Here is a 21,689-nt window from a genome sequence, read left to right as displayed (position 1 = left end):
CGTTGTAGTCCACGCCGTGGTCACGCCCTGACGGGGGCGGGCGCAGCCACAACATGCGTGGGAGGCGACAGGTCGCGACGGCAGCCACAGGTGGCAGTCGGGGGTGGCTGTAATTGGTAAGGGTTTACCAGTTCCTGTTCTAAGGGGCGGGGATACCGTTCCCTCGGACCTCGTCTCCTGTTTCTCCTCTCTGCCTTGGCATTCCAGGACCCCGGGGTCCGCCATAAAGGCGGAGCTTGAAGCCCCTGGGTTGGGGGAGCGGTGCTGCCCCTCCTCCGGCGGTGATGTCACTCCCCCCTCTGCAGCCTCTTGCTGCCCAGAGCTGCCGGGGCTGGGTCACCCCTCCCCCCATCTCGAGCCCCGGATTCCCCCATCCCCACCTCGCCTCGACTTGGGGTGAGTACGGGGGAGGGGGCGAAGGCTCAGGGTCCGGGGGCGGTAAGACAGCCCGAATCCTAGTTTTGGAGACGGGGGACTTGGGATCCAGGGACCCAAAGATTATAGCGGGGAGATTCCCCTCGACTCTGAGCTTTCGGGGCCAAGGTACTTGGAGGGTTTTAGGGGACGAAGGATCGTAGGCAGAGAGTCCTCACATTTTCACCTTTGGTGTCCAGAGACCAAGGCTCCGAATGGAACCGGGTGGGAATGGGGGCAGAGGAACAAGGAAGGGGTCGTAGAAGTCAGGGAGGGAAGACCCTTCCCCAATTCCAGGGCCTGGGGTAATGGGGGAGGGAGGGTTATCAGGGGACGCCGAAGATGACGTAGATGGGAGTTGGAGCTTTCAGGAATTTTGTGTCTTGAGGGCCTGGGAACGGATGGATTGGGAGGAGCAGGGGTGGGGAAAGGAACTGAAAACGAGACAGACGTTGGCCTCTCCCCTCCTGGTGTCCCTAGTCAAGAGTCGAGTCTACTTCCTCCTGGTCTGTGAACATAGCTGAGTGTCCAGTATTTGGAGCCCTCATGAAGCTTCCAGAAGCCCCCTCCTCTCTAATGGGTGGGTGGAGACTCCAGGCTCACAAATCCTCCCATAGACCCTGGTGGGGTCTGTGGAGGGCCATGAGGGAGTGCTGGCATCCAAGTTTCCCAGGGCCTGATGGAATGTGGACGGACCAGCCTGCTACTCCCGGCCCGCTGCCTCTTCCCCTCCCATGGCCTCTAATCCTGAGTCGCATCGCACATTCCTCCTTATTCCAGCCCCTTTTCCCCACAGCCCCCACCTTCTCCCACACTTCTGACCTCTGCAAAAAAACGCTGATTTAGCCACTTGATACCGTGCCTGGCTGCTGTGAAAAGCAGAAGGGAAAAGCAGGGTTGAGGGGGGAGTGTGGAGGAGGATGGCGACCGAGGTCCTTACCTAGCCCATAGTGCCTACCCAGCCCTTGCTCCTGCCTCCACCACCCCACCCCCAATTGCCCAGGAGCCTCATCCAGCCCCAGCCCAGTCCCTCACCTCAGGATTCTCTGCTTCTGCCTGGGGGTGCACCAGAATTCGGGGAAGGGGTAGGAAGTACCTATGTCTTTTCTGTGCCCTCTTGGATTCCATCAGAAGCTGAAGGACATGATGGATTGGGTGCAATGGAGAGCCCTGGGTCTGGGGAGTGAGGGCAACGACCTTCCTGGGCTGCAGGACAGGCCCCACTTCTGCAACTCTCTCTGCAGTGACGCAGTCCCAGCTAGGACGGGGGTTAGAGAGGGTGATGGGGGGTCTGAGAAAAAGGAACGGAGACCCAGAGAGAGGGGGACAGGGTCCCCAGGAAGTGGAGACAGAGACCTAGAAAGAGAGAGACCCAGAAGAAGGTGAAACATAGGAGGAATAGAGACTCAGGGAGGGGACATAGAGAAAGTGAAGAGGCAGAAACTTAGAGGGAGAGAGAGAAGAACAGAGAGCCAGCAAGAGAAAGAGCAGAGACAGAGGAGGGAAAGAGACGGAAGAGGGGGAAATACACCAGAGATGGGGAGAAGGGGAAGAAGGAGGGGGAAATACACCAGAGATGGGGAGAAGGGGAAGAAGGAGGGGGAAATACACCAGAGATGGGGAGAAGGGGAAGAAGGAGGGGGAAATACACCAGAGATGGGGAGAAGGGGAAGAAGAAGGGGGAGGGGAAAGAGGTTGTCAGAGAGCAAGGAGGAGACAGACTCAGATGAAAGGGCAGAGACCCAGAGAGGAGGCAGGACAAAGCGGGTTGCGGGGAGGGAGTAGAGGACAGGGACACAAGACCCAGGGAGTGCGGTACAGAGCCCCAGACAGAGAGGCACACCCCTGATAAAATGGTACAGAAACCAAGAGAAAGAGACTCGGGGGAGCTGGGGTGGGGGGGCGGGGACTGAGACACCAGGGAGGAGAGACTGAGGCCTAGAGAGAAGAGGAGCAAAGACTCAGAAGGAGGGGGACAGAATCAGAGACCCAGGAGGGCAGATTTACAAACGAGGGGTCGGAGACTCAGAGGGGTGGGAACAGAGACGGCGGCACAAATACTCAAGAAGGGAGAAAAAGAGACGCCAAGAAACCCAGAAACGGGAGCGGGGGTGGGATGGGGTTGGGAGGCGATACGAATCAGCCGCCGCACCTGCAGCAGGAAGCGGCGGGCCAGAAACTGTGCTGCCCGAGGGCGCCCGCAGCCCCCTGACCCGCCCCCTTCGCTCCCGCAGGCGCCGCCTCCTCCCTCCGCAGCCCCAGCCGCAGCCGCTGGCCCCGCCCCAGCCCCCTGAGCCTGCGCTCTGCCTCTCGGAGCCTACGACCGCCCAGGGGGCGGGGACGGCCCGCTCCGAGGCGGTCCCCTTTTTCTGGCCCCGCCCCTCACTCCATTCTTCCCCAGAACCCGACCTCTGAGACTCCTAGCCCACCCCATTTTTTATCGGTCCTGCCTATATTGCCTCAGTCTTGACGGTGCTTCCTGGCGCTTTGGCCTCTCCCCTCTCCCGTCCTCTCTGCCTCCTTGCGTGCCCCCTCCTCACCAGTCCTCATCTACCCTCGGTCCTCCAATCTGCAGTCCGCCGCGGTGTAGCGTTCGTTAGAAGTTCTCGCCTCGCCCTTTGAGACCCTGTGACCTTTAGGCAGTGCCCTCTCCCAGGTCTTCTGATCCCGAAGACTCCCCGTTCCAGGTCCCTCCCCTCCATCCAGCCCAGTAGCTTTGTACTCTTTGTAGTCTCATTGTTCCCCTGGGATCCACCTCTCCCGTTCCTCTACCCTCCCTTAGCCCTGCCCTGCCCTCGCCTACCCTGGTTGCTTTCAAGACCCTCAAGCCCCGCTCCTTCCTTAGTCTCTCTTTCCTACCGCCCATTCAAGACGTTTTCTTTTTCTTTTATTTATTTATTTTTTGACACAGAGTCTCGCTCTGTCGCCCAGGCTGGAGTGGAGTGGTGCGATCTCGACTCATTGCAACCTCTACTTCCCAGGTTCAAGCGATTCTCCTGCCTCAACCTCCCGACTAGCTGGGACTACAGGCACCCACAACCACGCCCGACTAATTTTTGTATTTTTAGTAGAGGCGGGGCTTCACCATTTTGGCCGGGCTGGTCTCGAACTCCTGACCTCAAATGATCCACCCACCTCAGCCTCGCAAAGTGCTGGCGTTACAGGCGTGAGCCACTGCGCCCTGCCTCAAGACGTTTTCTATTTGTCGACCCCACTCACCTTCCTCAGTACCACTCATCCATCCGGACACTCATTCTCCGGGCCCAGCCCCGACTAACCAGGCCCGCCTTGGAGCCTCAGCCCCGCTCCCTCCCTTAGGCCTATCCAGACCCTCTCGGGTTTCCAGGACTCTCTCAAGTTTCAACACCTTCTCACCGAGTCTAAGTCTTTGTTCTTCCCGTGTCCTCTTTCAGTCCAGCCTGTCCCCCTTGCGCGGGAAAGTCCTCCATCTCTAGTTCCCGCCCCATGCAGTCTCATCTGGACCGTTTCTACTTTCTGCGGCCCTGTCTCTTCCAAGCAATGCTCCTCCCCACCAGGTCCTGCCTAGCGGTGTTTTAGGTGAGGGCGTGCGATCTGTTTTGTTTCTCTCCGCCCCTTTCTCAGCCCAATCAGGACGGCCTCTCTCATGGTGGCCCCGCCCCTCCAGGCCAGTCGGGCGTCTTTAAATAGCTTGGATGTGTCCCCTCCTCCCTCTACCCCGCCCGCACTTTTTTCAGTTCAGTAAGGTCTCTCTCTATCGTATCTAGCCCCGCCTTCCCCTGGCTACCAGTGCTGCCGAACACAATTAGTAGTAACCGGTCCCGCCTCCCTTGACGCCCCGCCCCGCCCCTCCTCCCTGCTCTCTTAGAAAGAGCCAATCGCTCCGTCTCATTGGCGGCCCCGACTCGTCCAGCTGGGTCGCGTTAGAGTGCCCGCCCCACTCCTCCCAGCCACAGCCCCGCCCCACCTCCCCCAGGCCAATCAGTTTGGTTCCTCTCCCCTAAGCCACGCCCCCGCTACCTCGCTCCTCCTCCCACCCAATCCCGTCGGTCTCTCCCCCCGTGTCCCCGCCCCTGCGTCCCCGCCCCTCCCGCCCCGCCCCCCGTCCAATGCTGAGCTCAGTCTGCGTCTCGTCCTTCCGCGGGCGCCAGGGGGCCAGCAAGCAGCAGCCGGCGCCACCGCCGCAGCCGCCCGAGTCCCCGCCGCCGCCACCGCTGCCGCCGCAGCAGCAGCAGCCTGCGCAGCCCGGCCCCGCCGCGTCCCCGGCGGGCCCCCCGGCACCCCGCGGGCCCGGGGACCGGCGCGCCGAGCCATGCCCCGGGCTGCCGGCGGCGGCCATGGGGCGGCACGGCGGCGGCGGTGGCGACAGCGGCAAGATCGTGATCAACGTGGGCGGCGTGCGCCATGAGACGTACCGCTCGACGCTGCGCACCCTGCCGGGGACGCGGCTGGCCGGCCTGACGGAGCCCGAGGCGGCGGCACGCTTCGACTACGACCCGGGCGCCGACGAGTTCTTCTTTGACCGGCACCCGGGAGTCTTCGCGTACGTGCTCAACTACTACCGCACCGGCAAGCTGCACTGCCCAGCCGACGTGTGCGGGCCCCTGTTTGAGGAGGAGCTCGGCTTCTGGGGCATCGACGAGACCGACGTGGAGGCCTGCTGCTGGATGACCTACCGGCAGCATCGCGACGCTGAGGAGGCGCTCGACTCCTTCGAGGCGCCCGACCCCGCGGGCGCCGCCAACGCCGCCAACGCCGCAGGCGCCCACGACGGAGGCCTGGACGACGAGGCGGGCGCGGGCGGCGGCGGCCTGGACGGAGCGGGCGGCGAGCTCAAGCGCCTCTGCTTCCAGGACGCGGGCGGCGGCGCCGGGGGGCCGCCAGGGGGCGCGGGCGGCGCGGGCGGCACATGGTGGCGCCGCTGGCAGCCCCGCGTGTGGGCGCTCTTCGAGGACCCCTACTCGTCGCGGGCTGCCAGGGTGAGCGCGCTCTCGGGGCCCCCATCCACCCCACCCCCGCCTCTCCAGGCGCCCCCAGTCTCCCAGGAGCGCCCCAGCTCCAACCCTCCGGGTCCCTCTAGGCTTCTCAGTCTCCTAGAAGCCTCTTCCCCAATCCTGAGTCTCCTGGGCTCCTCCGAACACACCCCCCTCTCGCAGCCATCCCCCAGATCCTCCAAAGACGGATCTCCAACCTTCGGGCTCTTCCAGACCCCTCCAAAGTTCCCCCTCCCCCGCCAAGGCCACCCTAGACGCTTAGACACTTCCTCCAGACCGTGAATCTCCCGTGCTTCTCTGAACAACCCGGTCCCCACCTTTCCTGGGCTCCTCTGAGACCCTCCCCAACCCTCATGTCTCCTGGGCCCCATCAAATCTCTTCTCACTACTCTTGGTCACCGTCCAGCCCTTGGTTTCTTGGACCTTCCCCAGCCCCTCAGAAGACATCCCTTCTCAGCCCTCAAATTCTCCTAGGCCCTGTGAGCCCTGACCCCCACTTTCCCTGCCTTCTCCAGACTCTCTGGGGCCCCCTATTCAACTCTCAGTCTCTCCCAGCACCTCCCCGATTCACCCCGTGGCCCGTCTCCCAGAAGACCTCTCTCTCCAAGTTTGAATCTTCTGATTATTTTTTCCACTCCCTTCCTGCAGTATCTTCTGCTCTCAGAGTCTCAGAAAACTCCCCCACCCCAACCTCACAGCCTTCTGGACCCCTCTAAACCTCCACTTGTTCTTGCCTGGACATTTTCACCTCCCCCTCACTGCAATACTGAGTCTTGGGGCATCTTCTCCGTTGGAACCTCCAGGCCCCCTCTGTGTTCACTCTGTGTTTAACACTCTTCAACCTCCACGCCAACTCCCATCTCAAGGACTTTCCCCATAAAGCTCCAGACTTCCCCCAAGCCTTTCACACTCCTCCTCAGTGCCTCCAGAAGCATCCCATGCCCCCATCATATGCCTTTCCTCTCCAGAACCCTCACATGTCCTCCAGAATTGTTCTTCCTCCTCCATAGATCCTCGCAGCTTCTCCTCTCCATCATTTTAACTGCACAGTGCACTCTCTATCCCTGGGACTCCCCCCATCCAAAGCCCCCACAGCCCGTTTCCTAGTCTAAGTGACTTTCCCTCCTGCTCTAGAACTTTTTCTAACCTCAAACCCTGGGAGGCCCCTCAAGTCATCAGCCCTAAAACTTTCATCTCAAAATAACTTACAATTCTTTCTACCTTGCCCTGGGATTCCTTCCACCTGCCCTCTTCCTTTCTCGAACCTCCCCCCCCGCCGTGCAAAACCCAGAACCTAGCCCCTCAGTCTGTCCCCCTCCATCAAAGTGAACCAAAGAGCCTTCTCTCTCTCTCCAAATTCTAGATTTTCCCCAAAGCTCTCTCCATCGCTCCCAGAAAACTTTCCTCAAGCATCCATAACTTCCTAGGCTAAATGACTACCCTCCCCCTGGGTTCTCTCCTGAACCATTTCCTCCTACTAACTTCCTCCCTGTCCCGGGGACCCCGGAGGGAGAATGTGGTGGAAAAGGGGGGCAGTGCAAAATGGGGGCAATTGGAAATGGGGGAAATAAGAGCGATCCCAAGACCCCCTCCTGGGCTCCTGGGTACCCAAACACAGAGGAGCAGGTCTTGGCCCCCTCCCCCCACCGTGCCGCGTCCTGAGCCGGGAAGGACGCGGAGCCGCAGTGCCGCATTCGCGCCGGGGGAGGGAGCGGGGGGACGCCTGGAGCCACCGCATAAAGTTTGGTCCCCAGAAAGCGCTGAGTTGGCGAGATTTGGGGTTGGATGGGGGGAGGTGGGGAAGAGGAGGTGCGGAAGGGACATGGCCCTGGATGCCCCCTCAAGACACTGAGCGGCTCCTTCCCCCATGGCCGGGGCGCCCTTCTCTCCTGTGACCCCATTGAAGGGTGCTGAGATGAGGAGCGGGATGAAGTTAGAGTTCTTCTGTGATGGTCAGGCTAGGTGTTCGGGACAGCTACGGGAGATACTCATTTACTCCGCCAATGTGTTTTGGGTGTCCAAGGTGTGCCGAGCCCTTTCCAGCCTCCCAGTGATATGGCTTGAGAGAGTTGGGAGCTGAGGCCAAAGCAAAGTGGAGGGTCCGACCCTACAGCCCCCTGCCCCCGCCCCCTTCCTCGTAATCACTCCTTTCCTTCTTACAGAGACTCCATGCCCTCCTACCCCTTCTGCTTTTGACACACTCTGGAGTAAGGGGTTAAACCAGCCCGACGCCGTCCAGCCTCTGCAGCTGCGCACTGCGGCGGGTGCCCACCTTTCCCTGTGCCCTGGGAGGGAAGGAGTTAATTAGACTCTTGGCCCTTGGCCTCCCGCCGGAAAGCAGCAACACTGCGGCTGCGCGTTGAATAGGCTCCGGCCCGGAAGGGGTTAAGACGGCCCCTAGCCGCTGCGGCTGCGCACTGCGGCGGGGGAGCTGTCCGCGGTACTGGCCGCCGTGCGCCCCGCCCCCCGGCCCGGCTGGCCCGCCCCCACTGCGGTGCCGCAGCTAGCGCCGCGCGCCCGGCTCGGAGGGGGCGGGGAACTAGGCATGCGCTCTGCGAAGGCCTCTGGCCTCTTAAACCACTGCAGAGAAGCGAAGGTGGGGGTGGGGGGGGAGTTCAGAGAGGACCTGCGCCGGCCCCCAGCCCACCCCAACGTCCAGGGTCCTCTCTGTGGCCCCGAAACTCTCCACCCACTACTTCCCAGCTCTGCACCTCAGTGAAGTCAAGCCCAGAGCCCAACCCCTGTGGAGGAAGGGGGGTGCACAGAGGGACAGTGCTGGCCCTTGGCCCACCCCAAAGTCCAAGGTCCTCTCTGTGGTCCAGCAGTGGCCTCCCCGTGCTCTGTGCCCCTGATTAATAGCAAAACTCCCCATGCCCTCCCTCCTCCACTACCCGCAGGATTAAAACCCTCTCTTTACTATAACACCTGTCTTCCTTCCCTCTCCAATGCACTCCTCTCCCCTCCCACCCCTCTGCATATCTGATAAAGCCCATGACATCTCTAGGGGCCTGGCCCATTGCTTTCCTTCTCCAAGACCCTGACCCCACTCCCTCCTCTTCTAGGCCTTCATCAAAACCCACATCACTGTGTGGCAGGACTCTGGTTATCCCCCATCTTGAAATGGCTCAGGACCCTTCACCCCTCATTCTCTGCCCCTTTGGCAAATGCCCTAACTTCTCTTTGGCCCTGGCTCTGCCTTTTCCCACAATGTCCAGGCCAGTGACTCTCCTTCCTCTTCAGGGCCCTAAACCCTGCCTGACTCTCCTCTTTTATCTCCTCTTCCATTTTTGCAGGCTTAACCCTTCAACCCCTCCTCCCTTAAGGGCCCGGACCCCCACCTCCCCTCTGTGGCACCACCACTGCCCTGTCCTCTCTGGGTGAGGCCTTGACCTTGCCCCCCAACTAACTGCTGCCTGCATACCCTAACAACAGCTCAGGTCTTCTTACTGTGTTCCAGGCACTGCTCCAAGCACTGTGTTTGGAGCCAAGTCCTTCGTACGCTCATCTAATTTAATCCTCACAACAATCCCACTACAAACTTCTGGTTCAGAAAGCTCAGTCTCCTTGCCCAGTTTTGACAGGTTAAAAGCCAGATTCATGCCCAGGCTCGCCGACTCTTAACCACCTCACGATTCTGCCTCCCTGCCCGCCTTCTCCCTTCCCGTCTGCCCAGCTCCAAGCTGAGCCCTAAAGCCTCCGAGACACACAGGATGTGTGATCTTAGGCCTGGCGGCTCCCGTCCCACAGCAGAACCCGTGGACCCTGCTGGGGGGCCCTGAAATAGGACACAGGGAACAGGAGGGTGGGGGGAGGTGGTCTAGGAAACAGCAAGGGGCCAGAAATGTTTCCAAGGAAAGAAGCTGCCCATCTGCTGCGTCTGCTGGGGCCAGCTCTTCTCCAACTGCCTCTGTTCCTTTCTCTCCCTTTTTGCTAGCTTTAGAGGGGAGAATGGGATTCTGGAAGTGATGGAGCCACAGGGCTGAGACACCTGGATTTTGCCCAGAGTTTGGGCCCAGGAGGCTGGGGAAGGGGGCACTGGAAGGGTCTTCTGGATGTTATGGCCAACCTGATGCCTAGGTCACCTCTCCCCCTCTCTCTCCCTCCCTGCCCTGCAGTATGTGGCCTTCGCCTCCCTCTTCTTCATCCTCATCTCCATCACCACCTTCTGCCTGGAAACCCATGAGGGCTTCATCCATATTAGCAACAAGACGGTGACCCAGGCCTCCCCGATCCCCGGGGCACCTCCGGAGAACATCACCAACGTGGAGGTGGAGACGGAGCCCTTCCTGACCTACGTGGAGGGGGTGTGCGTGGTCTGGTTCACCTTCGAGTTCCTCATGCGCATCACCTTCTGCCCAGACAAGGTGGAGTTTCTTAAAAGCAGCCTCAACATCATCGACTGTGTGGCCATCCTGCCCTTCTATCTCGAGGTGGGCCTCTCGGGCCTCAGCTCCAAGGCCGCCAAAGACGTGCTGGGCTTCCTGCGGGTGGTCCGCTTCGTCCGCATCCTGCGCATCTTCAAGCTGACCCGGCACTTCGTGGGGCTGCGCGTGCTGGGACACACGCTCCGCGCCAGCACCAACGAGTTCCTGCTGCTCATCATCTTCCTGGCCCTGGGGGTGCTCATCTTCGCCACCATGATTTACTACGCTGAGCGCATTGGCGCCGACCCCGATGACATCCTGGGCTCCAACCACACCTACTTCAAGAACATCCCCATTGGCTTCTGGTGGGCTGTGGTCACCATGACGACCCTGGGCTATGGAGACATGTACCCCAAGACGTGGTCGGGGATGCTGGTCGGGGCGCTGTGTGCCCTGGCGGGGGTGCTGACCATCGCCATGCCTGTGCCCGTCATTGTCAACAACTTTGGCATGTACTATTCGCTGGCCATGGCCAAGCAGAAGCTGCCCAAGAAGAAGAACAAACACATCCCCCGGCCCCCGCAACCGGGCTCGCCCAACTACTGCAAGCCTGACCCACCCCCGCCACCCCCGCCCCACCCGCACCACGGCAGCGGGGGCATCAGCCCGCCGCCACCCATCACCCCACCCTCCATGGGGGTGACTGTGGCCGGGGCCTACCCAGCGGGGCCCCACACGCACCCCGGGCTGCTCAGGGGGGGAGCGGGTGGGCTGGGGATCATGGGGCTGCCTCCTCTGCCAGCCCCCGGCGAGCCTTGCCCGTTGGCTCAGGAGGAGGTGATTGAGATCAACCGGGCAGGTGAGCCTGGGCGTCAGGGATCGGGGGCACAGGTGGAGACCCGGGGAGGACTGGGGAGGTAGCTGCCGGGGTTCAGAGAACCTGGGGTGGTTGGCGTCGAAGAGGTGAGGGAGAAAAAAACCAACAGCAGGAGCTCAGGCGAAGAAGGAGGCACAGATAATCACACAGAGACATAGGTTTCATGGGAAAGAGTTTTGGGGAGAAACAGATTTGCAAGATATTCAGAGGGGCTGGCGAGGCAGAGGCAGTGTCATCAGCTGTGCAGAGAGAGGGACCCGGAGGAGCGTGGGGCTCAGAGAGACACAGAAAGAGGGTCTCACAGGAATCACAGGCAGACCCGAGGCAGAACCCCAGGGAACGTAGCAGCATCTGAGCATCCGGGAGACAGCCCTGAGGGAAGAGAGACTGAAGCCGATAGGGTCTGAGGCGGGGAGTCAGAAACCGAGAGATTGTCATGGAGACCAGAGAGAGATGGGATGTAGATTTTGGGCGGAGGTGGGGGCGGTCAGCGGCAGAGAGTTTGGGTTCTAATGACAGCAAGCCCAAGAGGCAGACAGACTTCAAAACGGAGAGTCAGGCCAGGGCAGATCCCCCAGGGCAGAACGGAAACCAGGGCCTGGTCAGTCGGCTTTGCTGTGGGCAGCCTGGGAGGGTCCCAAAGAGAGATCCAGAGAGGTGCTGCTCAGAGGAAGAGACAAGCGAGAGATGAGGGAGAAGAAAGTTACCTGTGCTTCTGTGTGTGTTCCTCCCCCAGGGGGTGTCTATGCCTCAGAGGCAGTGGCTTGGGAGTCTAGGAGGAAGGAGAGGCTGGTGGCCCCCCCCTGCACTGCCCCGCCTTAAGTAGGTCAAGAAAGGGAGCTGGGCCACTTGGCCCCCATCTTGCTCCCTCAGCCGCTGACCCAGTTTCACACCAGTTAAAAATAGCTGGAGTCAGAGCCTAGGGGACCCCCACGTCCCACCTCCCATCTCTCACCTAACCTAGCCCTTCCCCTTGGTGCCCTTCCCAGAGCCCAGCACTCTTCCCTGAACAGCCACTTCCTAGCTTGCCACATCCTCTCCAGCCATGCCTCCACCCGCTACCCCTACCCCAGCCAAGCCCCCTGAAGTTTGCTCCAGCCAACCACCCCCCAACACTGCCTCATCTTCTCCCCGACACCCAGCTTGCTTCATCCGCAACCATCTCTCTCTTTTTTTTTTCTTATTCCAAGACGGAGTCTCACTCTGTCTCCCAGGCCGGAGTGCAGTGGAAACATCTTGGCTCACTGCAACCTCCGCCTCCCGGGTTCAAGTGATTCACCTACCTCAGCCTCCGGAGTAGCTGGGATTACAGGCGCCCGCCACTGTGCCCAGCTAATTTTTGTATTTTTAGTAGAGACGGGGTTTCACCATGTTGGCCAGGCTGGTCTCGAACTCCTGACCTTAAGTGATCTACCCACCTCGGCCTCCCAAAGTGCTGGGATTACAGGCGTAAGCCACCACGCCTGGCATCTTTTATCTTTTATCTTTTTTGGAGACAGGGTCTCACTCTATCACCCAGGCTGAAGCAGTGAAACTATTATGGCTCACTGCAGGCCGACCTCCCAGTTTCAAGTGATCCTCCTGCCTCAGCCTGCAGAGTAGCTGGGACTATAGGCGTGTACTACTATACCCAGCTAATTTTTCTATTTTTTGTAGAGATGGAGTTTTGCTATGTTGCCAGGGCTGGTCTCAAACTCATGGCCTCAAGCAATTCTCCCACCTCAGCCTCACAAAGTGCTGGGATTATAGGCATGAGCCAATGTGGCCAGCTCCAGACCATATCTTTAAACAGCATCCCACCCCAGTCCTACCCTTCCTGGCACCCCACACCTGGCACCACCACCACATCCCAGCTCTCAACACCTCCCTGCACCACCACAATCTGTCCAACTCCCTGTCCAGACCACCCTTCCCAACTGCAGTCGCCCTTCCCAGCACTCAACCCCCATGATCACCCCCCAGCCGCGCCCCCTTGATACCCTCTCCCAGCTGTGCCCCCTGCCACCCTCCTGGCCACTCCTTCCCATCACCCTGCCCTTGAATCTCCACTTCCAGTGCCAAACATCCGCCGACCATCCCAGCATCTGCTCCTCGCAGACATCTTGCCCCACCGCGTGTTCACCGCACCTCACTCTCTCCTTTGTCTCTCTGTCTGACCCCCTTGGGATGCAGATCCTCGCCCCAATGGGGATCCGGCAGCAGCTGCGCTTGCCCACGAGGACTGCCCAGCCATTGACCAGCCTGCCATGTCCCCGGAAGACAAGAGCCCCATCACGCCTGGAAGCCGTGGCCGCTATAGCCGGGACCGAGCCTGCTTCCTCCTCACCGACTATGCCCCTTCCCCTGATGGCTCCATCCGAAAAGGTGAGGTGCCCCCCCTACTGATCCCCTGGGACCCTCCCTCTCTCTCCCCTGCCCAGGGGAGGGAGGAGAGGGGGATGGGGGAGGAGGCGGTGGACTTCCCTTCCCCCTTCCCTTGGCCCCAAACTGCCTCCCTCCCAGATCTTCCCTGTACCCCCGCCCCAAGTTTCCTCACCACTGACCCTTCACCTGTCTTTATTCCATGTCCATTCCCCCCAACTCTCTGGCCTCTTCCCCCACCCCCAGCCACTGGTGCTCCCCCACTGCCCCCCCAAGACTGGCGTAAGCCAGGCCCCCCAAGCTTCTTGCCCGACCTCAACGCCAACGCCGCGGCCTGGATATCCCCCTAGTGGACGAACCCCCTCCCCCCGGGGTAAGTAGCCCCCACCCTCTGATCCCCCGGACCCCCAGACTCCCCACTCCTGCCTGACTAACCCTTCTGAGAACATGCAGCCCCCACTGACCGAGACTTCGGCCCCCTCACTGCAAGCAGCTGCACCCAGTTAACCCCCAGCTCCTGACACTGACCCCACACCCACCTACCCAGGACTCACCCTGCTCCTCACTAACCCCCGAACTAACTCAACCCTGCCTCCCACACTGCACCTGCCCTCACGACCGACCCCATCCTCACCCCCATCAACATCTCTGCCTCCCTCCTTGGTCCTAGGGTTTTTTTTAAAAATTCAATCAGGAAAACGGAGGGCATACCCAGAACACTTCTGGGTGCAGAATGGGGAGAGAAAGGCTCAGCCATCCGTCCATGCCCCTGTGAATTCAGCCAGCGCTTAGACAGCACCCACGCATCCCAGGTACTGGGCATGGGGAGTTCAACCGTGAACAAAAACCATGCCCCCAGGAGCTTCCGCTTTGGAGCAGGAGGCAGACACGGACCTAGAAAGTCATGGTTTGAGGCGATGTATGCTAAAATGGAGGGAGCACAGACAGTGAGAGGAACACTAGAAACTCCCAGGGGATGGGGCCGGGCATCAGGGAAGACTCGATATCTGCAGTGGGGCCTTAAGGTTGAGCAGGAGTTCTGACCACACGCAGAGGAAGAAATCCCATCGACAGGAACGGTTGAAGGGAACCGCAGGACAGAGCTTAGGAGACTAGACTGTGGAGGGAGGATTCTCAGGTAGATATGAGGCAGGCACCGGGCTGAGAGGCTGCCACCTTGTCTAGGGGCTTGGGGAGGAGGCAGGTGAGCTGGGAGGGGCAGCTCTGGGGTCTTGTGAGGATGGACTGGAGGTGGGAGGCTGGAAGTTAGGAGGCTGAGGTGACAGGTGGAAGCGTGAGCTGGGGCCAGGGCTGTGAGGATGGAGAGGAAGGGACGAGGCCGAGAGAGTCGGGGTCAGGGATCAGAAGGGACAGACTGGGGGCTGCCGGCCATGCAGAAGTGAGGGGGATAAGACAGTGGTGCTATTTAGTAGACGAATCATTCAGCAAATATCACCAAGTACCTACCACATGCTAGGAATTTAACATATATTCTTTAATCCTTGTAACAATCCAAGCCAACTCCTAGCTCCTTTCATTCATGTATTCAATCCATTCATTCACTGTTTCAGCAACTGATTCTTTTTTTTTTTTTTTTTTTTTTTGAGACTGTCTTGCTATGTCACCTGGGCTGGAGTGCAATGGTGCAATCTCGGCTCACTGCAACCTCCGCCTCCTGGATTCAAGTGTTGGGGTCTCGCTATGTTGGCCAGGTTGGTCTTGAACTCCTGGGCTCAAGCAGTCCTCCTGCCTTGGCCTCCCGAAGTGCTAAGATTACAGGCATGAGCCACCACCCATGGCCACAACTGATTCTTGAGAACACAGTTGCAGGCACTACAAATTTGGGATAAAACAAAGCGTGAATCTGCCATCACGGTTTACAGTCTCCAGATTGTAAGGGGTCCGCAAACTAACTCCAGCCTGAGGGCCTGATCTTTCAGCATCTGTTTTTGTAAACAAAGCTTTATTGGAACACAACCATGTTAAGCCACGACAGCAGAGTGGAATAATTGGGACAAAGACTATACAGCCCCTATAGCCAAAGAGATTTACTATCTGGCCTTTTACAGGAAAAGTTTCCAGCCGCTCATAGGAAGAAGCAGAAAATAAGCAATTAAGGCTGGGCGGCGGGGGTGGCTCACATCTGTAATCCCAGCACTTTGGGAGGCCGAGGACAGTGGATCACTTGAGGTCAGGAGTTCGAGACCAGCCTGGCCAACATGGTGAAACCCCATCTCTACTAAAAATACAAAAATTAGCCATGCGTGGTGGTGGGCACCTGTAGTCCCAGCTACTTGGGAGGCTGGGGTAGGAGAATCACTTGAACCCGGGAGGTGGAGGTTGCAGTGAGCCAAGATCACACCACTGCACTCCAGCCTGGGCTACAAATAGAGTGAGACTCCCTCTCAAAAAAAAGAAGAAGAAGAAGAAGAAGAAAAGAAGCAATTAAGATAAAGATAAAAGAACAAGACTATTACTCTGGCCACTTCAGTTAAAGAGGTCTGGCTGGGCACAGTGGCTGCCGCCTATAACCCCAGCACTTTGGGAGGCCAAGGTGGGAGTATCATTTGAGCCTAGAAATTTGAGACCAGCCTGGGCAACAGAGCAAGACCATTTCCTCAAAACCAAAAAACTTAGGTGTGGTGGTGCATGCCTGTAGACCCAGCTACTTGGGAGGCTGAGGTGGGAGGACTGTCTGAGCCCAGGAGTCTGGGAGGCTGCAGTGAGCCATGATTGTGCCATGGTGCTCCAGCCTGGGGGGACAGAGTAAGACCCCATCTCTGGGGGAAGAAAAGGAGTTCTGCAAAGGACTTTTTGAGGAGGTGACACAGAACCTGGAGGGTGAAAAGGGCCAGGCAGGCAGAAGAAACAGCAAGTGCACAGGCCCTGAGCTTCCCTGGGGGAGGGGGTGGAGGATGAGCTTGGCTTGTTCAAGGGACAGCAAGGAGCACAGTGAGGCTGATCCCAGTGGCCAAGGGGAGAGGGCTGCTGGAGTCCAGGGAGAAAGATCAGGACGGATTTTCGGCCATGGTGAGGAGGCGGGACTTTATCTTAAACGTGAAGGGAAGCCACCTGAAGGTATGTGATCCATCATGCATTCATTCAACAGCCGTCTGTGGAATCTTCTTTAGAAATGCAGAGACACATCCTAAAGGATCCCTGTCCACAGCCTAAGGAGATGCCATAGGGGAACCTGGGGGGCTTCCAGGAATGGCCTCACCTAAACCCCTGTGTTTCACAGACATTCAGGGAAGGCCATGACCAACCCACCACCCCAGGCCACAGAGCACAAGGGCCGAGACCCCAGGCTTCCGGGCTCCTAGTCCAGAGGGGGGACTGTCTGGCTCCTCTTGTTCCATCCCCCCCACCTCTCCTTTTTGTAACCTCCCCGTCATTGTCCATTTCCAGCTCATTACCCCCCCACTCCCCTCCCTGCTCCTATCTAACTCCTCCCCCTGCTTGCACCCACTCCCAGTCCTTTACCTTCCTCTGTTCCCCACCCCCAGGTCTAGAGGGGCCCCTATGGGATTGAGGGGGAGAGGGTGTGGGCCTATGGGTGAGGGAGGATTGGGGTGGGGGTGGCTGGGTGGGGGAGGTCCCTGCTTCTCTTGCCTATGATGCCAAAATCCATTCATTGAACTCAAATCATGGCTGGAGCTGATGGGGTTGGCTGAAGCTTCTATCCCTGGTGCCCTGGATCCTTCCCCCTCCAGCCCTCCCCAAGCCTTTTCCTTGCTGTCCTTCAGCCCCACAACCCTCCCTCCCACAAGACCCCTTTGGCCTATTGCCCCCCATGCTCCTTCCCCCAAGAGTCTCTCCTACCACAACCTTCCCTTCCCAACCCTTTCGTTTTTGTTTTTGAAATGGGGTCTCGCTCTGTCGCCCAGGCTGGAGTGCAGTGGCGCAATCTTGGTTCACTGCAGCCTCTGCCTCCCAGGTTCAAGTGACTCTCCTGCGTCAGCCTCCAGAGTAGCTGGAATTACAGGTGCCTGCCACCACACCCGGCTAATTTTTGGATTTTTAGTAGAGATGGGGTTTTGTTGGCCAGGCTGGTCTCGAACTCCTGGACTCAAGTGATCTGCTTGCCTTGGCCTCCCAAAGTGTTGGGATTACAGGTCTGAGCCACTGCGCCAGGCTTCTTCCCTCCCTAATTGTCCCCTATGGTCCTCCCAAGACCCTCCTTTCCTCCAGGCTTGTCCTCCACCCCTGCTCCTCCCTCCTACATCTGCCCTCACCTGATCACTGGCTCCCACTCCTCCCCAGAACTCTCCCTCCTCCCATCCTTCCTCCTCCCCTCCCCCTCCCCAGCCAGCCCGGAAGCTCCTTCCATATTTGATGTCTCAGCCGCCCCCCATTTCACTGCTCCCCTCCCGCGGAAAACACCAGAGAGGAGGAAATGATCCCGGCGGCGTTTCTCCATCCCCCCAACAGTGAGGCTGTGTTGGGGGGTTTCCCCTGACCATCCTCTCCCCACCCCCGTGACTCTGTGTATTTCTGTCCCCAGCTCTTGTCACCGCCTGAGACCTCGCGAGACTTTCGGTCCCCCCCGCCCCTTCCCCCCAGGTTAGCAATTGGGAATGGCTGGGAGGGGGTGTCCCCAAGACACTGGGCTTCAAATCTCCCCCCAAGCCCTCCCTCCTACGATCAAGACACCTTTTGTCCAGACAGCTCCCTTAGCGTTGCCTGGAAAAGCCACAGAGCTCCCTGCGGGGGTGCAGAACCCTGCAGGCAGCCCCAGGCTTTGCAGAAACCACACACACTGTTGCTGGATCTTGAGTCCCATTAGCTGTGAGATGCCTGTGAGAGCCTTCCCGCACCCGTCAGAAGCTCAGAGCCTTCTTGGACCCTTTAAAGATGTCCCTCTCCCCAGCCCTCCGCCTCACCGCCCCCCACCCCCGACCCCGTCCTTAGAATCTTCTGGAGGAGCCTCCCTCCCCCCCCACCCCCCCCCACTGCTCCTGGAGTTCTCATCGGATTCCCCAAGGGCACTGCCAGCTTCGCTCCACTCAGCCCCCTTGCAGACCCCACCCCCTGCCTGCTCTCTTTCCCTACAACTAGGTCAGCCCCCAGCCCCGCTACGGCGGCCGCACCGTTCCCTGCCCTCTCCGCTGGCTGCTCCCACATGCATTCCACCCAGCCCCTCCCCACGCCCCTGCCGCCCACCATCCCGCCTTGCTGCCCCCCACCTTTTGCCTCAGGTGAGGGGACCAGTGGAGGGGGGGAAGGGCGGTGGACTGTGGTGGGAATGGGGCGGGGGAGGCTCGGTGGGCACCAACCTGCCTCCTAATCCGGAGTCTCTCCCCCCTCCCCGATGTCTCCCCCTTTCTCATCGATGTTGACTGACTCCCCGATTTGTTCACTTTCTCTCTCCATCTCCTTGGTCCATCTCTGTCCATCTGTCTCTTGTCATCCGTCCTTTTGTGTCTCTGTCTGCCTGACTCTGTCTGTCTTGCCTTCTCTGTCTCTCTGGGTATCTGTTGTCCTCCCCTTCCATTTCTTTCTCTCTCTGTCTCTTTCTCCCTGCCTTGGGTCTCTCTGTCTGACCCTTCCCTGCACCCCATCTTCGTGCTTCCCCCCTGTGTCTGCACACCTCCCCACCCCCCAGGTTACGAGAAATCCCGCAGCCTCAGCAGCATCGCGGGCCTGAGCGGGGTGTCCCTGCGCCTCGCGCCCCTTGCCACCCCCCCTGGCTCTCCCCGGGCCGCCCGCCGCGCTCCCCCGACCCTGCCCTCCATCCTTTAGCGCTCCCCTCCCCCCTGTGGGGGGACTCGGGGGTGACCGGGAAGAAGGTCAAAGGAGCTGGGGGTGGGGGGTGGGGAAAAGGGTTTTTTTAAAAAAAATCAAAAAGTCATTAATAATATGCAACCGAGATGACGATGCCAGCAGACACCCCCGGGCCCCTCACCCCCAACCTGGGCCCCCAGGATGGAGAGAGGGGCCACAGCCCGTCCCCCCAACTCTTCCCTCCCCAAAAAAAGCCTTCTCAGGTCTCCACGAGCCATAGGACATCCCCCTGCCATCAACTTGTGTAAATAAGTCCAAATTATGCCAGTTACATCTTGGGGCACCTCCCCCCACACACTGCATGCCTTCCCTAACCTGGAGCCCCCACTCCAAGTCCACCTCAGCAATAAGCCGCCAGGGGCCGCATGCGCGGGTTTGAGGGGCAGGCACTCTGGGAAGGGGGTGGCACCTCCCGGGGGTCGGGCTGGCCTTTAAGGTCTCCAGCCTTCCCATCCTTCACCCCAGGAGGACAACCAACCCTGTGCGTTGATTAGGAGAAAACAAACCAGAAACTAGAAACAGTGTAGGGGAAGGAGGAACAGTTACCCAAGCCCCAGATCGGAGTTGAGCTCAGGTGGCGGGAGGGCGGGGCCGAGTTGAGCTCAGGTGGTGGGAGGGCGGGGCGGGCTTTGGACCTGCTCCCTCAGCCTTTAGGAGAATTCCTCTGGTGAATTTCACCCTCTCATCCGCCCCTTCCCCCAGGGACCTGCTCGCCTCTATTCTTGCTGCATGGACTCAGACCTCCTATCCCAGAATTCCTGGGATGATCTGGCCCTAGCACACGAAATTCCCCGACTATCTCCCTCCATTCCCAGGACATGAGACCTGCACCCAGAATTCTGAGACTGACCCTGGCACGCCACATCTCCCAATCCCCACACACTCCTGCGACTTAACCTCTGCACACAGAGGCTCCCTGAACCACCCTCCCTCCCCACTCCTGCCACCCCAAACACCCCCACCAAATTCCCTGAACTGCGTCCCAGCACTTCTCAAACCTCCAAGACTTGACCCAGCTCTTTTCAGCTCAAATTCAGCCTTTGGGATGCTCCAAATCCTTCCCACAACTGACATTTCTTGGACACCCCCAAAGCCTCAGGCCTGTTCCGCACCCATATCCCCAAAGCCCTAACAGACTTGTCCAGCCCAGGTTCCCTTGATGCTAGAACTTCCAAGATAGGCGCAACCTGTCTGCAATTCCAGGGAACCAGACCCTCCCCAAGCACCCTCTTTGTCTTACGCCTAACCCTGAGTCTCTTCCCTGAGATGGTGCCCCAAAGGTACCCTCTTCACAGACACCAGTGTTTCCCAGAGGGTTGTATTTGTACCTTTGGTGGTGTGCTAAGGTTTGAGGCAGTATGAGGACAAACACTTGTTTTAAAAGTTTTGTCTCTAATACGCATTTTGTACAGAAGCCGATAAGTGCAGGCATCGCTGCTTGGCTAGGACACGGTTTATTTAGGTTAAGAGTGTTTCCATTTAAAGTAGTCCACAGATGATCACAGAGGCTGTTCCCGAAGGGAGGAACACTGGAGTATCAGAAGATTGGGAACCGACAACACCCAGCTCGGCTGGGATCCCAGCCCCCCTTCCCCAGCGGTCCTCACCGCGTCACGCTCGCGGGTGGAAAATCATTTCCCACCTCCTATCCTGGCTCAAGGATGCGCTACCTCCCCCAAGCCCAGAGACCACACCGGTCCCAGACTCTTTAGCGGACCCCCCTTTTGGAGCCGGGGTCCCACGGAATTAGCCACCTCCCTCCCTCTGCTCCCACGGCCTCAGGAACCCCCCACCCGAGGGTGGATGGGGGGCGTCACTGAGCACGATTCTCGATGCAACGATTCCTATGCAAGGGGCATTTTGAGTCCCCCCCATCCTTCCCTCGGACCCTAAACCCTGGTGAAGCAGGGGTGAGGGGTGGGGCGGGTTTTGGTGGGGGCGGGGCAAAGGGCTAGGGGCTCCAGACACCAGGGTACGGGGTGGGGACTGATTATATTGCCAAAGGGTTCAACTTCTTTAACAAGCCCCCCCGTTTCCCCTGACCTTCACGAAAGCCGAAGGAGGCGGGGAAAGGGGGTGAGGGTCTTTTCCAAAGGGTACTGACCTCTTCCCAACGTCTCCCCCTGCTCGCCAGTCCGCCACACGTACCCAGCTTTTGAGTTCAGCTTTTCAAAATAACCACAATCATGATAAACTTCTACAAAACGTGATTCTCCTCCCCTCCCACCCCATCCCCCAAGTCAATAGTGTGGGATTCGGGGAGGGAGAGAGCGAGCTAAAGGGACTCTTTCCAAGTCCGGCTCCCCCTTTTCCCCCCGGCCGCCAGGGTGCCTGCACCTACACGCATGCGCTGCATGACGCGCCCCCCACACGCATGTCGCACCCCTCCTGCGCTCCGGGAACGCACGGACACGGGCCAGGGGGCGGGGCGATTGGGGAGGAATGAATGGCGGGGGGTCTTCCTGAGCTCCGCGGCTCACCCTCCCCAACACACACACACACACACACAGAGCAATAAGTTTCTCTCACTCAAATGTGGGCGGGGCGGGCCTAGCCTGTCGCTGGTGGGGGGAGTGGTGAGGGGGCGCTCTCAGGGATGGGGGCGGGGTTCGGAGACAGTGTGGGGAGGGGAGGTCTGCAAATCGTCCAACTCTGGTGCTAATGGCGGGTCTTCTCAGCCCACCCGCAGGGCAGGGAGGGAGGGGTCGGCGTGGCCCCTTCCCCAAGCCTCCCCCACGCCCACCCTGGGTGCATGAACCGCCCAATGCAGAAGCTGCCGCATGTCACCCCCCTCTCCCCAAAGAAAAAGTGTCATGCCCCCTTCCCACCCACCCTCACTCCCCACCAAAATAAACGTTTCCTTTTCATTTAAAAATGGCCTCCTGTGTGCCTGTTCGGAAAGTCTCCTGATTGCGG

At 59.4% G+C, this 21,689-nt stretch overlaps 1 protein-coding gene and 1 long non-coding RNA gene across 5 annotated transcripts in view, besides 13 other annotated features; one reads left to right on the top strand and one right to left on the bottom strand.

Moving 5' to 3' along the window:
* The window catches only part of LOC105372437 (uncharacterized), a 43,757-nt gene extending 39,792 nt beyond the window's left edge, over positions 1–3,965 (bottom strand). For both annotated transcript variants that reach the window (XR_007067299.1, XR_936023.2), the window contains exon 1: positions 3,790–3,965. This is a non-coding gene — a long non-coding RNA (uncharacterized LOC105372437). The remainder of the gene's footprint in view (positions 1–3,789) is intronic.
* KCNC3 (potassium voltage-gated channel subfamily C member 3) lies at positions 49–21,648 on the top strand. Of its 3 annotated transcripts, none has more exons than NM_004977.3 (5): positions 4,208–5,372; positions 9,503–10,610; positions 12,801–12,992; positions 13,236–13,362; positions 17,494–21,648. In NM_004977.3, exons 1-4 carry the CDS (start codon positions 4,503–4,505, stop codon positions 13,337–13,339), a joined length of 2,274 nt encoding a protein of 757 aa, NP_004968.2. In that variant the 5' UTR covers positions 4,208–4,502; the 3' UTR covers positions 13,340–13,362; positions 17,494–21,648. The 3 variants fall into 3 exon arrangements, 2 of the variants coding, with proteins under 2 accessions (NP_004968.2, NP_001359234.1); NM_001372305.1 differs by having other exon boundaries at positions 4,514–5,372; NR_110912.2 differs by lacking the exons at positions 4,208–5,372; positions 9,503–10,610; positions 13,236–13,362 and adding an exon at positions 49–116 and having other exon boundaries at positions 17,494–17,552; positions 18,595–21,648.
* Positions 1,478–1,577: an enhancer, noted in NCBI's record as "active region_14979". NCBI's record gives its function as "activates an Ori minimal core promoter by ATAC-STARR-seq in GM12878 lymphoblastoid cells {active_cell/tissue: GM12878}" and the evidence as "EXISTENCE:reporter gene assay evidence [ECO:0000049][PMID:35858748]".
* Positions 1,888–1,937: an enhancer, noted in NCBI's record as "active region_14978". NCBI's record gives its function as "activates an Ori minimal core promoter by ATAC-STARR-seq in GM12878 lymphoblastoid cells {active_cell/tissue: GM12878}" and the evidence as "EXISTENCE:reporter gene assay evidence [ECO:0000049][PMID:35858748]".
* Positions 2,518–2,887: a silencer, noted in NCBI's record as "silent region_10957". NCBI's record gives its function as "represses an Ori minimal core promoter by ATAC-STARR-seq in GM12878 lymphoblastoid cells {active_cell/tissue: GM12878}" and the evidence as "EXISTENCE:reporter gene assay evidence [ECO:0000049][PMID:35858748]".
* Positions 2,901–3,080: a silencer, noted in NCBI's record as "fragment chr19:50833762-50833941 (GRCh37/hg19 assembly coordinates)". NCBI's record gives its function as "represses an EF-1alpha promoter that drives an FKBP-Casp9 reporter gene in an ReSE screen in K562 erythroleukemia cells {active_cell/tissue: K562}" and the evidence as "EXISTENCE:reporter gene assay evidence [ECO:0000049][PMID:32094911]".
* Positions 3,958–4,017: a silencer, noted in NCBI's record as "silent region_10956". NCBI's record gives its function as "represses an Ori minimal core promoter by ATAC-STARR-seq in GM12878 lymphoblastoid cells {active_cell/tissue: GM12878}" and the evidence as "EXISTENCE:reporter gene assay evidence [ECO:0000049][PMID:35858748]".
* Positions 4,098–4,647: a silencer, noted in NCBI's record as "silent region_10955". NCBI's record gives its function as "represses an Ori minimal core promoter by ATAC-STARR-seq in GM12878 lymphoblastoid cells {active_cell/tissue: GM12878}" and the evidence as "EXISTENCE:reporter gene assay evidence [ECO:0000049][PMID:35858748]".
* Positions 4,199–4,493: an enhancer, noted in NCBI's record as "tiled regions #11330 and #13384 (exact overlaps); K562 Activating DNase matched - State 12:CtcfO, and HepG2 Activating DNase matched - State 12:CtcfO". NCBI's record gives its function as "activates a minimal TATA promoter and a strong SV40 promoter by Sharpr-MPRA in K562 cells, with weaker activation in HepG2 cells {active_cell/tissue: HepG2 | K562}" and the evidence as "EXISTENCE:reporter gene assay evidence [ECO:0000049][PMID:27701403]".
* Positions 5,256–5,345: a silencer, noted in NCBI's record as "silent region_10954". NCBI's record gives its function as "represses an Ori minimal core promoter by ATAC-STARR-seq in GM12878 lymphoblastoid cells {active_cell/tissue: GM12878}" and the evidence as "EXISTENCE:reporter gene assay evidence [ECO:0000049][PMID:35858748]".
* Positions 7,070–7,591: an enhancer, noted in NCBI's record as "H3K4me1 hESC enhancer chr19:50829251-50829772 (GRCh37/hg19 assembly coordinates)". NCBI's record gives its function as "activates a minimal SCP1, AML or CMV promoter by ChIP-STARR-seq in naive H9 embryonic stem cells {active_cell/tissue: H9 hESC(naive)}" and the evidence as "EXISTENCE:reporter gene assay evidence [ECO:0000049][PMID:30033119]".
* Positions 7,723–7,852: a silencer, noted in NCBI's record as "silent region_10953". NCBI's record gives its function as "represses an Ori minimal core promoter by ATAC-STARR-seq in GM12878 lymphoblastoid cells {active_cell/tissue: GM12878}" and the evidence as "EXISTENCE:reporter gene assay evidence [ECO:0000049][PMID:35858748]".
* Positions 7,863–7,962: a silencer, noted in NCBI's record as "silent region_10952". NCBI's record gives its function as "represses an Ori minimal core promoter by ATAC-STARR-seq in GM12878 lymphoblastoid cells {active_cell/tissue: GM12878}" and the evidence as "EXISTENCE:reporter gene assay evidence [ECO:0000049][PMID:35858748]".
* Positions 17,126–17,306: a silencer, noted in NCBI's record as "fragment chr19:50819536-50819716 (GRCh37/hg19 assembly coordinates)". NCBI's record gives its function as "represses an EF-1alpha promoter that drives an FKBP-Casp9 reporter gene in an ReSE screen in phorbol 12-myristate 13-acetate-treated (for megakaryocytic differentiation) K562 erythroleukemia cells {active_cell/tissue: K562(+PMA)}" and the evidence as "EXISTENCE:reporter gene assay evidence [ECO:0000049][PMID:32094911]".
* Positions 19,952–20,480: an enhancer, noted in NCBI's record as "H3K4me1 hESC enhancer chr19:50816362-50816890 (GRCh37/hg19 assembly coordinates)". NCBI's record gives its function as "activates a minimal SCP1, AML or CMV promoter by ChIP-STARR-seq in primed H9 embryonic stem cells {active_cell/tissue: H9 hESC(primed)}" and the evidence as "EXISTENCE:reporter gene assay evidence [ECO:0000049][PMID:30033119]".

This window comes from Homo sapiens, chromosome 19, assembly GCF_000001405.40.
Source record: "Homo sapiens chromosome 19, GRCh38.p14 Primary Assembly".
NCBI lineage: Eukaryota > Metazoa > Chordata > Mammalia > Primates > Hominidae > Homo > Homo sapiens.
This window is presented reverse-complemented; position numbering and strand designations above follow the sequence as displayed.